The following is a 16,346-nucleotide window of genomic DNA, read 5'->3' on the forward strand; positions in this document are numbered from 1 at the left end:
CTGCCCTTCTGGGCCTCCACCAAGTGCTGGGATTACAGGCCTGAGCCACTGTGTCTGGCTTTGCCCATTTTTTTTGGTTTTTTAATTGGATTGTCTATCTCTTTTTGTGTTAATGCGTAGGGGTTCTTCATATATTCTGGATATGAGGTTTGTGGGTGTTTTTGGATATATGCATTATATGAGCCAGGTGCAGTGGTGCATGTCCATAATCCCAGCTACTCAGGAGGCTGAGGTGAGAAGATCGCTTGAGGCCAGGAGTTTCAGGTGGCAGTGCACTATGATTGTGCTTGTGAATAGCTACTACACTTTAGCCTGGGTAACACAGTAAGACCCCTCCTCTTAAAAAATATATTCATTGCAAATGTCTTCTTTCTTTTTCACTCTGTTTTTGTTTATTTATTTATTTAGAGACAAGGGTCTTGCTATGTGGCCCAGGTGGGTCTTGAACTCCTGAGCTCAAGCGATCTGCCCACCTCGGCCTCCCAAAGTGCTGAGATTACAGGCATGAGCCACGACGCCCAGCCTAATGTTGTTTTTAATTGGAAAAGTTATATATATATATATATATATATATATATTTCAAAAGCCCTTTAAAGAGATTGCAGCAGCTGGGCGCGGTGGCTTATACCTGTAATCCCAACACTTTGGGAGGCCAAGACTGGTGGATCACTTGAGGTCAGGAGTTTGAGACCAACCTGGCCAAAATGGTGAAACCCCGTCTCTACTAGTACCAAAGGCTGCAAAATGAAAAGGAAACTTAATCTGCCTCCAGGCTTCTCAGAGTTCCTCCCCGGAGACAAACACTATTAACAATTGCTCTTTTGTGCTTACGGAAATTTTCTTTCATATAAAAGCACATATACAAATATATTCTTGTCCAGGTGTTCATGCCTGTAGTCCCAGCACTTTGGGAGGTTTAAGTGGGAGATCACTTGAGGCAAGGAGTTCAAGATCAACCTAGGCAACATACGGATACACTGTCTTTACAAAAAATAAAAAAATTAGCCAGTCACGGCGGCGCACGCCTGTAGTCCTAGCTATTGGGGAGGCTAAGGCAAGAGGATCACTGATCCCAGGAGTTCAAGGTTAAAGTGATCTATGATCCAGCCTTTGCACTGGAAATGGAGTGAGGCCTTGTCCCAAAACAAAACCAAAACCCACAAAACCAAATATATCCTTTTTTTTGTTTTTCTAACAAATAGTTACTACACAATGTTCTGCTCCATTTATTTTGTTTCACATCATACATTTTGAAGATCTTTCTATACCAGCATAAATATGTCTGCCTCATTCTTTGGAATGACCGTACTGTATAGTACTTCTTTGTATAAATGTGTCATGATTTATTTGTATGTCATAATTTACTCTCCTTTTGACAGACAGATTCCAGTTTCTTTTTTTCTGTTTTAAATAATGCTGCAGTAATCATGTATGTAGAAAAAGGTTTTTTGGTATATATGTCTAATAATTTTTTTCTTTTTTTTTGTTTTTGTTTTTGAGACGGGGTTTTGCTCGTTTCCCAGGCTGGAGTGCCATGATGTGGTCTCGGCTCACCGCAACCTCTGCCTCCCAGGTTCAAGCGATTCTCCTGCCTCAGCCTCCTGAGTAGATGGGATTACAGGCGTCTACCACCAAGCCTGGCTAATTTTTTGTATTTTTAGTAGAGATGAGGTTTCATCATGTTGGCCAGGCTGTCTTGAACTCCTGACCTCAAGTGACCCCCCCACTCTGGCCTCCCAAAGTGCTGGGATTACAGGCATGAGCCACCGTGCCCAGCCCCAGGTCTGATAATTTCTAAGGAAAAATTATGCAATGCTGGGTCAGTATTGGGACTTTAAACAGTTATTGCCAAAATGCCCTTTAAAGAGATTGCAGCAGCTGGGCACGGTGGCTTACGCCTGTAATCCCAACACTTTGGGAGGCCAAGACTGGTGGATCACTTGAGGTCAGGAGTTTGAGACCAACCTGGCCAAAATGGTGAAACCCCATCTCTACTAACATACAAAAATTAGCCAGGCATGGTGGTGGGCACCTGTAATACCAGTTACTCAGAAGGCTGAGGCAGGAGAATCGCTTGAACCCGTGAGGTGGAGGTTGCAGTGAGCCGAGACCAGGCTACTGCACTCCAGCCTGGGCAACAGAGCAAGACTCCCTCTCAAAAAAAAAAAAAAAAAAAGAGAGTGCAGCAATTATACTCCCAGCAATAGTGTATGAGAATGCCTTTTCTCCCATATGTTCAATAATATTGATAAGTGAAAGGTGATCTCTCATAATTTGCATTTCTCTAAGCGAGTAGAATTTTGAAAGCCATTTGTATGACTTTATCTGTGAACTACCTATATTGATGTATTAATACTTTCCTTATGTTTCTATTGGATGAATGATGATCTTCTTTTAATTTGTAATTGCTCTTTTTCTTTTATTTTTATTTTTTGAGACATTCTTGCTCTGTCACCTAGGCTGGAGTGCAGTGGCGCCATCTTGGCTCACTGCAACCTCCGCCTCTTGGGTTCAAGTGATTCTCCTGCCTCAGCCTCCTGAGCAGCTGGGACTACAGGCGCGTGCCACCACGCCCAACTAATTTTTGTATTTTTAGTAGAGATGGGGTTTCACCATATTGGCCAGGCTGGTCTCGAACTCCTGACCTTGTGATCCACCCATCTTGGCCTCCCAAAGTGTTGGGATTACAGGCGTGAGCCACAGCGCCTGGGTTTTTTTTTGTTTGTTTTGTTTTTTAACTTGGAGTCTCGCTCTGTTGCCCAGGCTGGAGTGCTGGATTGCAGTGGCGCAATCTCGGCTCACTGCAACCTCTCCCTCCTGGGCTCAACCAGTTCTCCTGCCTCAGACTCCCGAGTAGCAGGGACTACAGGCACATGTCATTACACCCGACTAATTTTTTCTTTTTTTTTTTCTTGAGACGGAGTCTCGCTCTGTTGCCCCAGCAGGAGTGCAATTGCACGATTTGGCTCACTGCAACCTCTGTCTCCTGGGTTCAAGCAATTCTCTTGCCTCAGTCTCCCAAGTAGCTGGGATTACAGGTGCACACCACCATGCCCAGCTAATTTTTTTTTTTTAAACAAAGTCTCACTCAGTCACCCAGGCTGGAGTGCAGTGGTGTGATAGCTCACCACAACCTCTGCCTCCCAGGTTCAAGTAATTCTCCTGCCTCAGCCTCCTGAGTAGCTGGGATTACAGGTGTATGCAACCATGTCCGGCTAATTTTTGTATTTTTAGTAGAGACAGGGTTTCACTGTGTTGGCCAGGGTGGTCTTGAACTCCTGACCTCGTGATCCGCCCACCTAGGCTTCCCAAAGTGCTGGGATTATAGGCGTGAGCCACCGCACCCGGCCAAATTTTTGTATTTTTAGTAGAGACGGGGTTTCACCATGTTGGCCAGGCTTGTCTCCATCTCCTGACCTCGTGATCTGCCTTCCTTGGCCTCCCAAAGTGCTGGGATTACAGGTGTGAGCCACCGCGCCCAGCCGATTGCTCTTAATTATATTAAAGAAATTAGACTTTTATTATATTGCAGATATTGTAAATGTTTATTTTCTCAGCTTACCATTTGTGTACTTATATCTCTGTACAAGGTGTTTTTTCTCCATGGAGAAATGTTAAATCTTTGTGAGGTTAATTTTATTAATCTTTGCCTTTATGGTTTTGACAGTTTGTGTCTTTCTTCAAATGTTTTTCTCATTCCAAAATAAAAAAAAAAATTTCCCATGATCTTATCTAGCTTCTCTAGCAGTACTTGTATGATTTCACCTTTCTTTCTTTATTCTTTTCTTCCATATTTTTTTTTTTGAGACAGGGTCTCACTCTATTGTCCAGGCTAGAGTGCAGTAGTTTGATCATGACTCACTCTAACCTGGACCTCCGGGGCCTAAGTAATCTTCCCACCTCAGCCTCTCAAGTAGCTGGGACTACAGGGATGTACCACCATGCCTGGCTAAGTTTATCTTTTGTTAATTTTATTAAAAATATTTTCTTAAGAAATGGGGGTCTCACTATGTTGACTAGGCTGGTCTTAAACTCCTGGCCTCAGGCAATTCTCTCGTCTTGGTCTCCCAAAGTGTTAGGTTACAGGCATGAGCCGCCGTGCACAAAGTTTTTTTTTTTGTAGAGATGGAGTCTTCCCATATTGCTCAGGCTGGTCTCAAACTCCTGGCGTTAAGCAATTGTCCCGCCTCTGCCTCCCAAAATGCTGGAATCACAGGCATGAGCCACTGTGCCTGGCCTTGATTGCATCTTTGATGCACCTGGAATTTATTTAGCTATTTACTTTTCTCCAAATCAACAGGTCTTTTATTACATCATTTAAATATCACAAGTAGGTCTTAGGAGTCATCTGGCGTCTTCTTTCTGTAGCTGGATAACTCTTAGATCTTATTCATCATCCTGCTGAACAGTTCCTTTTTCAGAGACATAGATACCATTCAAAAATTTCCTGATATCCTTGTTTTAAACTGTTGTGGCTTGCTGAATCAAAGCCGCTGAATTTGAAACAAGCTCAATGTCATTTCCTTCAAAGATTAATTCATCTTTCTGGGCTTGAGATACTGAACAAGCAACACCTGGTCTCATCCGCACCCTGCGGATGTATTTTTCACCCAAGAAATTTCGGATTTCAACAACAGACCCATTCTCCGGGATAACGACGATGATGGGGAAGTAAGCATACACAGACCTCATCTTGTAACGGAAGCCCAGTGTAACACCCTTGATCATGTTCTGTACATGACTACAAATAGTCCGAACGGTAGCCAGTTCTTTTCTGTTACCCCACCATTTGTCAACCAGAGCCTCTTTTTTTTTCTTTCCAAGAAGACTGAGTTCTACATTGATGTGATTGAAGTCCCTCCGCAGGGTTCCTCTGGGGCCATTCACGATAACTGTGTGTCCCTTCAGAGTAATGTTGACATTTTCTGGAATGTCGACAGTCTGATTAATGAGAATGGTCTTCACTCTCGCAGTACACACGGCAAAGGACCTGGAATTTATTATAGGATAAAAAGTAGGGATACACCTTCATTTCTTTTCTTTCTTTCTTTCTTTTTTTTTTTTTTTTTGAGACGGAGTCTCGCTCTGTCACCCAGGCTGGAGTGCAGTGGCGCTATCTGGGCTCACTGCAACCTCCGCCTCTCAGGCTCACGCCATTCTCCTACCTCAGCCTCCTGAGTAGCTGGGACTACAGGCGCCCACCACTGCGCCCGGCTAATTTTTTGTATTTTTAGTAGAGACGGTGGTGTTTCACCGTGTTAGCCAGGATGGTTTCGATCTCCTGACCTCGTGATCCACCCCACCTCGGCCTCCCAAAGTGCTGGGATTACAGGCGTGAGCCACTGCGCCCGGCCCCTACACCTTCATTTCTTTTTCAAATGGCCAGGTAGTTGTCCCTGTTTCCTTAACTAAATACTCCATGACATTGAAAGTCCTGGCCATTTCCCAGATACCTATTATGTTCTATTGGTTTTTACCAAAAATAGTTGTGTCCAGTGCTATCTCACTCTACTTTCATTTGCCTTTGGGTGTTGATATAGACGTTACGTTTTTTCTGTTTATGACAAAACAATAGAGATCTGGGCCAGGCGCGGTGGCTCATGCCTGTAATCCCAGCACTTTGGGAGGCCGAGGTGGGTGAATCACCTGAGGTCAGGAGTTAGAGACCAGCCTGACCAACATGGTGAAACCCCATCTGTACTAAAAATACAAACATTAGCTGGGCGTGGTGGCGGGTGCCTGTAATGCCAGCTACTCAGGAGGCTGAGGCAGGCAAATTGCTTGAACCTGGGAGGCGTAGGTTGCAGTGAGCCCCAATTGCACCACTGCACTCCAGCCCAGGCGACAGAGCAAGACTCCATCTGGAAAAAATTAAAAAAATAGAGATCCTAGGTTTTTCTAGAAGTACTGTTAAAAAATATTAATCCCTACTGTTTGAAATTTCTAGAAATGAAAGTCTTTTCTTGTCCAGTATTTAATCATACGGGTGTGTCATAAATGATGTAATCATTTCTCTTCTGTTGAATATTTAGGTAATTTCAGATTTTACCTATTTAAATAATACTATGTTGATCATTCTTCTGTATAGCTTTCATAATTTCTTTACAAGAGAGTCATGGAAGTGGAATTACTGAATCAAAGTGTGTGAATATTTCTGAAGAAGAAATTGTCTCCAGGAAAGCCTCTATAAATTATTCTCCTTCGGCCGGGCACGGTGGCTCACACCTGTAATCCCGGCACTTTGGGAGGCTGAGGTGGGTGGATCACCTGAGGTCAGGAGTTCAAGACCAGCCTGCCCAACATGGCGAAACCCTGTCTCTACTAAAAATACAAAAAAATTAGCCGAGCGTGGTGGCGGGCGCCTGTAATATCAGCTACTCAGGAGGCTGAGGCAGGCAAATTGCTTGAACCTGGGAGGCGTAGGTTGCAGTGAGCCCCAATTGCGCCACGGCACTCCAGCCCAGGTGACAGAGCAAGTCTCCATCTGGAAAAAATTAAAAAAAAAGAATAGAGATCCTAGGTTTTTCTAGAAGTACTGTTAAAAAATATTAATTCCTACTGTTTGAAATTTCTAGAAATGAAAGTCTTTTCTTGTCCAGTATTTCATCATATGGGTGTGTCATAAATGATGTAATCATTTCTCTTCTGTTGAATATTTAGGTAATTTCAGATTTTAGCTATTTAAATAATACTATGTTGATCATTCTTCTGTATAGCTTTCATAATTTCTTTACAAGAGAATCATGGAAGTAGAATTACTGAATCAAAGTGTGTGAATATTTCTGAAGAAGAAATTGTCTCCAGGAAAGCCTCTATAAATTATTCTCCTTTGGCCGGGCACGGTGGCTCACACCTGTAATCCCACCACTTTGGGAGGCCGAGGTGGGTGGATCACCTCAGGTCAGGAGTTCAAGACCAGCCTGCCCAACATGGCGAAACCCTGTCTCTACTAAAAATACAAAAAATTAGCTGAGCATGGTGGCGGGTGCCTGTAATCCCAGCTACTTGGGAGGCTGAGGCAGGAGAACCGCTTGAACCTGGAAGGCAGAGGTGGCAGTGAGCCGAGATTGCACCACTGCACTCCACCTGGGCGATGAGTGAAACTCTGTCTCAAAAAAAAAAATTATTCTTCTAGCAGATTATGTTTACATGATGAAAACCTATCACCATCACCATTTATTTAGCTCCTGTATGTTAGGCACTATTCTTTCAAAGTTTCATTTAATGCTCATAACTATTTAGTGCAGTAGTAGACAGTATAATTCTCATTTTATAGGTAAATTAACTGATGCTCAGAGAGGGTAAGTAATCAGCCAAGGGCAGAACTGGAATTAATCTCAGGTCTTTCTCTCTCAAGTTGATGCTTTTTTGTTTTGTTTGATTTTGAACCTAAGATATAGAGGTCTGAGTTAAATGTACTCCTCAATTCTTGATATGTTTTCATCACTGGTTGTCCTTGTATTTCTTCTGTTTTCCAGGCTGGTGTGCAAGATCATGGCTCACTGCAGCCTTGACTTCGGCTCAAGCGATCATCCCACCTCAGCCTCCAGAGTAGCTGGGACTGCAGGCATGTGCCACTATGCCTGTCTAATATTTGTATTTTTTGTAGAGATGGGGTTTCGTCATATTGCCCAGGCTAGTGTTGAACTCCTGGGCTCAAGTCATCCACCTGCCTCAGCCTTCCAAAGTGCTGGGATTACGGGAGTGACAGGAGTGAGCCACCACACCTGGCCTGTATTTCTTGGATCTTCACATTTGTGATCTAGCTACACTGTGTACAAATGGGATGAACCAGTATTTGCCAATATTCAAACATTTTTGACCTACAAATAGAGCAACCTGATATGGTTCAACCAAATATATATGTTACAGTGTTTATTATTATACATCACTGATTCATACACATATAGTTCAGTCTTATTCTTGTCTGTATGGTCAGCACTTATGTTAGGCCCTCAGGAAAAGTTGACAGAACCGATGGATCACTGCCGGTCTGAAAAGGAAATGAGGAAAACAAATTCTCCTACCTTGAACTATTCTGCAAACTTTAACCATTGGGGTAATTGTTTATCTGGGCTTCTTGGATCATGATAAGGGCTTAGGGTTTACTCAGTGGAGGCCAACCCAGCATGCATAGAATCATAATATTTCAATATTAAAAAGAATGCTGCATTTTACACAGAGTGGAAGTGAGGCCTTGAAAATTTCAATTAATTGCTCAAAGTCCTAATAGTTTTTATTTGAACTAGTAAATATAAAATTATACCAGAATTCAGATAGACTGCCTTGATAATAGATTACTTTGAAAAGTTTCAATTTTTTTTTTTTTTTTGAGATAGTCTCACTGTGTTGCACAGGCTGGAGTACAGTGGAGTGATCTTGGCTCACTGTAACCTCCACCTCCTGGGTTCAAGTGATTCTCCAGCTTCAGCCTCCCAAGTAGCTGGGACTACAGGCACCCGCCACCACATTCAGATAATTTTTGTATTTTTAGTAAAGACAGGGTTTCACCATGTTGGCCAGGCTTGGTCTTGAACTCCTGACCTCAGGTGATCCTCCCACCTCAGCCTCCCAAAGTGCTGGGATTAAAGGTGTGAGCCACCACCACACCTGGCCTTCAATTCACTTTTTAATGTTTATTATTTTACTCTGATACTAAAAATTATGCATGTTTAACATGAATAAGGACACACTTCTACACACACATGCATACATTTACATCTATGCCTCTATATTAAAAAGTATGGGGGAAAGAAATGGGGAGATGTAGGTCAAAGAATATAAAGCAGCAGATATGTAGGATGAAGAAGTCTAGAGATCTAATGTACAACATGAAGACCATAGTTAATAACATTGTATTTTATTTGCGTTTTTTGTTAAATAAGTAGATTTTAGCTGCTCGTCATACTTTACACAAGCCTTTATGTGACGGTATAGATATGTTAATTCACTTCACTATAGTAACCATTTTACTATCTATATATATCCCATAACATCATGTTACAAACCTCAAATATACACAATAAAATTTATTTTTATTTATTTAATTTATTTATTTATTTTTGAGACGGAGTCTTGTTCTGTCGCCCAGGCTGGAGTGCAGTGGCGCGATCTCGGCTCACTGCAAGCTCCACCTCCCGGGTTCACACCATTCTCCTGCCTCAGCCTCCTGAGTAGCTGGGACTACAGGCACCCACCACCACGCCCGGCTAATTTTTTGTATTTTTTAGTAGAGATGGGGTTTCACCGTGTTAGCCAGGATGGTCTCGATTTCCTGACCTCGTGATCTGCCCACCTCAGCCTCCCAAAGTGCTGGGATTACAGGCATGAGCCACCGCGCCCGGCCTATTTTATTTATTTTTGAGACAGAGTCTTGCTCTGTTGCCCAGGCTGGAGTGCAGTGGTGCAATCTCGGCTCACTGCAAACTCTGCCTCCCTGGTTCAGGCAATTATCCTGCCTCAGCCTCCTGAGTAGCTGGGATTACAGGTGCCCACCACCATGCCTGGCTAATTTTTGTAATTTAGTAGAGACGGGGTTTCACCATGTTGGCCAGGCTGATCTTGAAGTCCTGACCTCAAGTGATCTTCCAGCTTTGGCCTCACAAAGTGCTGGGATTACAGGTGGTAGCCGCCACTGCATCCACCCAGAATAATTTATTTTTTAAAAAACTATGAGTTCAGGCCGGGCGCAGTGGCTCACGCCTGTAAACCCAGCACTTTGGGAGGCCGAGGTGGGCGGATCACCTGAGGTCAGGAGTTTGAGACCAGCCTGGCCAACATGGTGAAATCCTGTCTCTACTAAAAATACAAAATTAGCCAGGCATGGTGGTGCATGCCTGTAATCCCAGCTACTTGGGAGGCTGAGGCAGGAGAATCACTTGAGCTTGGGAGGTGGAGGTTGCAATGAGCCAAGGTTGCGCCATTGCACTCAAGCCTGGGCAAAAAGAGCAAAACGCCACTCAAAAACAAAAACAAAACAAAACAAAAACACCCCCCCAAAAAACAAAACAAAACAATGAGTTCACACTGATACCTCCAATTCCAATACAATAGCGTAAGGTATTCTCCCTTCCCATACTTCTAACGTCATTCTACCACAGTGAGAAAGCTGGCTCTGTCATGCTTAATATATTTAGTGACTTAATCAACCATCCTGAATGCAACTAACCTCCCATCTAAGCTTCTAGGCCTTCCCCACTTGGATGCCTTGTTCTCCCCTCTTGGGCCCTACGGCTAAGACTTTGTGTAGGACTGCCTCCCAGGTGTTCAAGCCCTCTTCATTTTCTCAGGTTCCTCAGCCTCCTTACCTGCTAGGTCACCAACACCTGGCTGTGGATAACCAGGTGTAGATGTTTCCTTTGTTCTGTACACGTTTCCTTTGTTCTGTACACCTAATGTCTTTGACACTTAGTATTTTAGGATGGGAAAGGGGAAGAGGAACACTGAATGTGCACTTTTAAATGGGTATTGTGCCTCTTATTAAGCTCTTTATTCACATCTTATTTCTTTAGTAATTCACAGAATTGGAATTTTTGGATTAAAGTTCTTTTTTTTTTTGAGACGGGGTCTCACTCTGTCGCCCAGGCTGGAGTGCAGTGGTGTGATCTTGGATCACTGCAACCTCCGCCTCCCGAGTTCAAGCAATTCTCTGCCTCAGCCCCCCAAGTAGTTGGGATTACAGGCACCCGCCACCACGCCCAGCTAATTTTTTGTATTTTTAGTAGAGATGGGTTTCACCATCTTGGCCAGGCTGGTCTTGAACTCCTGACCTCGTGATCCACCCGTCTCGGCCTCCCAAAGTTCTGGAATTACAGGCGTGAGCCACCGCGCCTGGCCTGGATGAAAGTTTTTTTAAAGGGAGTCTTGCTCTGTAGCCCTGGCTGGTGTGCAGTGGTGTGATCATAGCTCACTGCAGCCTCAAACTCCTGGGCTCAAGTGATCCTCCAGCCTCAGCCTCCTCAGTAGCTTGGACGACAGCTGCACACAACCATGCCCAGCTAATAGAGACGGGGGACTCACTATGTTGCCCAGGCTAGTCTCGAACTCCTGGGCTCAAGTGATCCTCTTGCCTGGGCCTCCCAAAATTGGGATTACAGGCGTGAGCCACCGCTCCTGGCCCGAAAGAGTGTTTTTAAGGCTTTAAAAAAATATTGCCAACATGGTGAAAACCCGTTTCTACAAAAATACAAAAAGGATCCGGGCATGACGGCGAGTGCCTGTAATCCCAGCTACTCAGGAGACTGAGGCAGGAGAATCGCTTGAACGTGGGAGGCAGAGGTGGTAGTTAGCGGAGATCGCGCCACTACACTCCAGGCTGGGCAACTGAGGGAGACACCGTCTTAAAAAAAAAAAAGTTCCCAAGTCTAAAAAAAAAAAAATCATCAATCTGCTCTCAAAAACTGTCGCAACAATTTACAATCTCATCAGCACTGAGTATCCATTTCCTTGCACCCTTCTCAGTAGTATTACCATTAAACAAACAAAATTTATATGCGTCAGTTTGTTGGGCTCAAAGGAGCCTCTCGACAAGTTTCCTATTCCCCACGCTGCCTCTCCTCTGGACACAGGAAGGGGTCCTTTTCCTTATTTATTTTGTTATTTCATTTTCGTCAACACGGCTCGGCTTGGGGACAGGGGTCGGGGGCAGGCCGGTTACCGCAGAGGTGGAGGCCGCGCGGCACCTGGCCTGGAGAGCTCACCACACAGCGACACAGACTTCTTCTCAGCTGGGTCCACCTGCTTGCCTCGGGGCGACAGAGGGCGCCACGGCGTCCGCGACGGACCCCGCCCCCAGGCAGTGCGCCGCGCTCCCGTGACGTATTTCCGCGTCATCTGCCGCCGAGGCTTGCCCCCATTGGTTGTCTGCGAGGCAATAGGGGCGGAGCCGAGTGGGAGTGTGGAAAGCGCCGCATCCCGGGTGGGAGGCGAGGCTTCCCCTTCCCCGCCCCTCCCCCGGCCTCCAGTCCCTCCCAGGGCCGCTTCGCAGAGCGGCTAGGAGCACGGCGGCGGCGGCACTTTCCCCGGCAGGAGCTGGAGCTGGGCTCTGGTGCGCGCGCGGCTGTGCCGCCCGAGCCGGAGGGACTGGTTGGTTGAGAGAGAGAGAGGAAGGGAATCCCGGGCTGCCGAACCGCACGTTCAGCCCGCTCCGCTCCTGCAGGGCAGCCTTTCGGCTCTCTGCGCGCGAAGCCGAGTCCCGGGCGGGTGGGGCGGGGGTCCACTGAGACCGCTACCGGCCCCTCGGCGCTGACGGGACCGCGCGGGGCGCACCCGCTGAAGGCAGCCCCGGGGCCCGCGGCCCGGACTTGGTCCTGCGCAGCGGGCGCGGGGCAGCGCAGCGGGAGGAAGCGAGAGGTGCTGCCCTCCCCCCGGAGTTGGAAGCGCGTTACCCGGGTCCAAAATGCCCAAGAAGAAGCCGACGCCCATCCAGCTGAACCCGGCCCCCGACGGCTCTGCAGTTAACGGGACCAGCTCTGCGGAGTAAGTATGGGGCGGGCGGTGAACCTCGGGGCCCGGCTGGGGAGGCCCGAGCCGGGGAGCAGGAGCGCGCGCCAGGCTCCGATCTGGTTTGTCACGTACGTCTGGGGCTGGCAGGGGGCGAGAAACTCCCGGCCGCCGAGGTATCGGTGACTAAGCACTGATTGTGTTCCTGACTCAGACCAGTTAGCGGATCCCGCGGGTCTCCATTCCTCTCTGTACCCCTTTTCCCGACCGTTTTAGTGGTTCCTGGCCACTGTACAGTCTTCTCCCAAGAAAATAAAAGCTAGCACGTCTCCCCTGCCTCCTCCCAGTTCTGTTCTAAATGTGATCATCTGGGAGTCTGGCCTGTAACGGGGAGAGGAGGCTAATGTTTTGGAAAGAATTAAGATCGCATCTGTGCTTTTGAGACCAGCTCAGGGTATTAAGTGTGGAGCATCATCCTCACCTTCATGCCTGACACCTGTGGGGCCTGAGTGCCTTGTTGCAGGCCAACTGCCTGGCCAGCGGGGGCGTGCTGGAAGTCCGTGTGGACTTCGTGGCTTTTCCTTGCTGACTTTGGAGGTTCCTGGTACTTGGCCTTCCTGGGAAATTGCTCAAGAAAGCGGCTTTCTTCTTCATCCTACTCTTCATTCATTCATTGAACAAACCATTTTCTCACTAATGATTTCCTAGCTTTCCGTACTTCACCAGGAGCCCCTAAACTCCTGACCTGAGGCATGAACACCATGACCTAGAAACCACATGCTAGGTGCTCCATCTCTGCAGCTTCCAGCGTTGCTTACAAACGAGCACTTTATTTCATTAAATAATCATGAGTCTGTTTCCTGGGGGTTTCTGAGCTCCCACAACTCTCTTGGGTTCTAGGTAAGGGACAAGACTATGTGAGGGAAAGCTGCTTAGCTAGCTAGAGAAATAGCCAGAAAAGATTAGGTTATTATTATTTTTTTGCCTTTTTTTGGTTGTTGTTTGCCCAACCTTCAATAAGGATTGGGTTCTTAATCTTTTACCTGCACACTGCAGACTTTAGGAAGCTAATTGATGAAATCAGAATAGGCTTGGACCTTATGCTCTTTGGTGATTTCTGTAACCTCCCTTCCTTTCTCTAGATTTTTAGAAAATTTTATTTTTTAAACTTTTATACAGATGGGGTCTTGCTATATTGCTTAGGCTGGTCTTGAACTCCTGGACTCTAGCGATCCTCCCAAAGTGCTGGGATTACAGGCATGAGCCACTATGCCCAGCCAACTTTCTCTAGATTTTAATAACCCGGGGACCTGTTGGCTTGATGACTTGTTCCATCCCTGTAATGATCACAAGGTCGATGGTGGACCTGTGGTGTGTGTTCAGCTGTGTTTTTCAGACCTGCTCCCAACAGACTCTCTTCTTTAGTCCCCTCTCAATCCTGTGGGGTCTATTTTGCATAATACTGACTTGTATAGGTAGTTGGATTGCATTATTGCATTGCAAACATTTGTTCTTTTTTTTTTTTTTTTTTTGAGTCGGAGTTTCACTCTTGTTGCCCAGGCTGGAGTGCAATGGTGCGATCTTGGCTAACTGCAGCCTCTGCCTCCCGGGTTCAAGCGACTCTCCTGCCTCAGCCTCCCGAGTAGCTGGGATTACAGGCATGCGCCACCATGCCCGGCTAATTTTGTATTTTTAGTAGAGATGGGGTTTCTCCAAGTTGTTCAGGCTGGTGGCAAACTCCCGTCCTCAGGTGATCCACCTGCCTCGGCCTCCGAAAATGCTGGGATTACAGGCATGAGCCACCGTGCCCAGCCCATTTGTTCAGTTTTAGTATACAGTGTTTCACCCTCTTAAAATAGACTGAAAGTCATGACTGTTGTTAGGACAAGTTTTGACCACAGTGGATTCTGGCTGAGTGTTATGGCCTCATTATCCTTTCCTATTTGATTTGGAAGTGGATACTGAGTAGAAGTACCTGTTATCATTCTGTTGTAATCGTGATACCACAACTGTATTCTCTCAAGGAGGAGGAATTTCATTAAAACAGTAAAAGCAGGATGAGAAGAAACTACCCCAGATTTGGTGGCAGAAAAATTTGGATGGTACTGGGAGAGTCTAAACAGTGGTTAAAAGGTAAGGGCTCTGGAGTCAGGCTAAGTTTGAAGCCTAGCTCTGTTGTGGTTTTTTTTTTTTTTTTTTTTTTTTGACAGTCTCGCTCTGTTGCCCAGGCCAGAGTGCAGTGGTGCGATCTCGGCTCACCACAACCTCCACCTCCCGGCTTCAAGCGATTCTCCTGCCTCAGCCTCCTAACTAGCTGAGACTACAGGCACGTGCAACCGTGCCTGGCTAATTTTTGTATTTTAATAGAGACAGGGTTTTACCCTGTTGGTCAGGCTGGTCTCAAACTCCTGACCTCGTGATCCTCCCACCTCAGCCTCCTAAAGTGCTGGGATTACAGCCCGGCCTCTGTTGTGGTTTTGTGACCTGGTTCAAGTCTTTTAGTCTAAGGCTTAGGTTTAGTTTTTTTCATCTGCAAAAATGGGGCTAATGATAGAACCTACTTAGCATAGTTGTGAAGATTAAATGAGGTAGTACATAGTAAACTTCCAAAGCTGTTGGCTGCTGGTGCCTTTGTTACTGCCTAAGTGTTGGACCAAAGGAAACTGGAAGGTGATTTTCATTCATGGTGGTAGATTATGTGTTAAGGTGCCTTTGCTTCTGGACAATCAACTCTCCCTAGTTTGGTTTTTTGTACCATCTGCATCTACCTCTATGACTCATTGCTGTGTTACAATAGGAGGCATCTTTGTGTAGGCTGCCCAAGACAAACAGGGACTGTTTCCCTGTGTTTCATAGCACTAATGAGAGGGAAAGCTGTACACATCTTCATCTTTCACTTCTGAGAGTGTTCCTCAAGCAAAATGTTCCCTATCTTGGGCTACCAGCAGAAAGAATTCTGTTGCTTTCATGATTTCTGTGATTAGACCAGGGCACAATTTTGAACGTTATCAGACAATGTGAACTAAAGAGGAAGAAAATCCATTTTGACAGTAAAGAACTCTTGGTACCAAATTGGCAAGGTTGCTTTTCCCTTGGCACCTGTGCTTACCTCTAACATAGCCCTTACCCAGTTCAGAGATGGAGTTGGGTAATACGGGACCTGAAGTTGATGCAAGTTGTAGGGGTCCTCAAAGAAAAATCATGCAAAAATAGCTTTCTTTTGTGTATTTTGCAGAAACATGTGAGCATATTACTAGGGTCTTAAGTGTTAGAATGAGATAATGAGATAATATTGTTCCTCTGTTTAAAATGTTCTTCTGGTTCTATTGCAGTTACACAAAATCCAAACTCCTTATATTGGACTATGAGACTGAGTGATCTGCCTGTTGTCCCCACCACCCCCTCCCACCAATCTCTTTAACCACATTTCCTGCCACTCCTTTCTTCCACCACACTAGTCCTCTTTCACTTCCTCTATGGGATGGTCTATACGCACTGCAGGCCTCTGTACATGCTGTTCCCTTTGCCTGGAATGAATCACTCCTCCTTCCCTAGGTAGGCAGGAAGCAGTCTTCACCTATTTGCCTAAATGTCACTTCCTCTGAGATGTTTATAAGCATCTCAGAGGAATGTGGTCCCTCTTTGTCATGTCACCTGAGCTGCTGCTTTTTTTTTTTTTTTTGGTATGGGGGTCTTGGTATGTTGCCCAGGCTGGTTCTTGAACTCCTGGACTCCAGTGATTCTACCACCTCAGCCTCTTGAGTAGCTGGGACTATAGGTGGGTACTACTGTGCCTGGCGCTCACCTGAGCTTTTAATAAGACTTAATCATTGTAATTTTTCATTGGGGTGTTCTTAATATTTATCTCTCCTGTACACTATAAACTTTAAGCACAGCACTGCCTT

General features: G+C 45.8%; 2 protein-coding genes and 1 pseudogene across 8 annotated transcripts in view, besides 4 other annotated features; 1 reads left to right on the forward strand and 2 right to left on the reverse strand.

Annotated features, from left to right (window-relative positions):
* The window catches only part of TIPIN (TIMELESS interacting protein), a 50,527-nt gene extending 38,760 nt beyond the window's left edge, over positions 1 to 11,767 (reverse strand). For 4 of the 6 annotated variants that reach the window (NM_001398285.1, NM_001398281.1, XM_017022390.2 and 1 more), the window contains exon 1: positions 11,700 to 11,767. The gene's annotated coding sequence lies outside the window, so the exon portion shown is untranslated. Of the gene's footprint in view, positions 1 to 11,656 lie in introns of all 6 variants that reach the window. The other 2 variants (NM_001398286.1, NM_001398283.1) reach the window with 1 other exon arrangement.
* RPL9P25 (ribosomal protein L9 pseudogene 25) lies at positions 4,288 to 4,987 on the reverse strand (annotated as a pseudogene).
* Positions 11,467 to 11,726: an enhancer, noted in NCBI's record as "active region_9612". NCBI's record gives its function as "activates an Ori minimal core promoter by ATAC-STARR-seq in GM12878 lymphoblastoid cells {active_cell/tissue: GM12878}" and the evidence as "EXISTENCE:reporter gene assay evidence [ECO:0000049][PMID:35858748]".
* Positions 11,867 to 12,056: a silencer, noted in NCBI's record as "silent region_6563". NCBI's record gives its function as "represses an Ori minimal core promoter by ATAC-STARR-seq in GM12878 lymphoblastoid cells {active_cell/tissue: GM12878}" and the evidence as "EXISTENCE:reporter gene assay evidence [ECO:0000049][PMID:35858748]".
* Positions 11,962 to 16,346, forward strand: part of MAP2K1 (mitogen-activated protein kinase kinase 1) — a 104,633-nt gene continuing 100,248 nt past the window's right edge. For both annotated transcript variants that reach the window (NM_002755.4, XM_017022411.3), the window contains exon 1: positions 11,962 to 12,477. In NM_002755.4, the coding sequence (NP_002746.1) occupies positions 12,398 to 12,477 (80 nt within the window). In that variant the 5' untranslated portion in view covers positions 11,962 to 12,397. The remainder of the gene's footprint in view (positions 12,478 to 16,346) is intronic.
* Positions 12,097 to 12,386: a silencer, noted in NCBI's record as "silent region_6564". NCBI's record gives its function as "represses an Ori minimal core promoter by ATAC-STARR-seq in GM12878 lymphoblastoid cells {active_cell/tissue: GM12878}" and the evidence as "EXISTENCE:reporter gene assay evidence [ECO:0000049][PMID:35858748]".
* Positions 14,611 to 14,787: a silencer, noted in NCBI's record as "fragment chr15:66681899-66682075 (GRCh37/hg19 assembly coordinates)". NCBI's record gives its function as "represses an EF-1alpha promoter that drives an FKBP-Casp9 reporter gene in an ReSE screen in K562 erythroleukemia cells {active_cell/tissue: K562}" and the evidence as "EXISTENCE:reporter gene assay evidence [ECO:0000049][PMID:32094911]".

The sequence above is a fragment of the Homo sapiens genome, chromosome 15, assembly GCF_000001405.40.
Source record: "Homo sapiens chromosome 15, GRCh38.p14 Primary Assembly".
Classification (NCBI taxonomy): domain Eukaryota; kingdom Metazoa; phylum Chordata; class Mammalia; order Primates; family Hominidae; genus Homo; species Homo sapiens.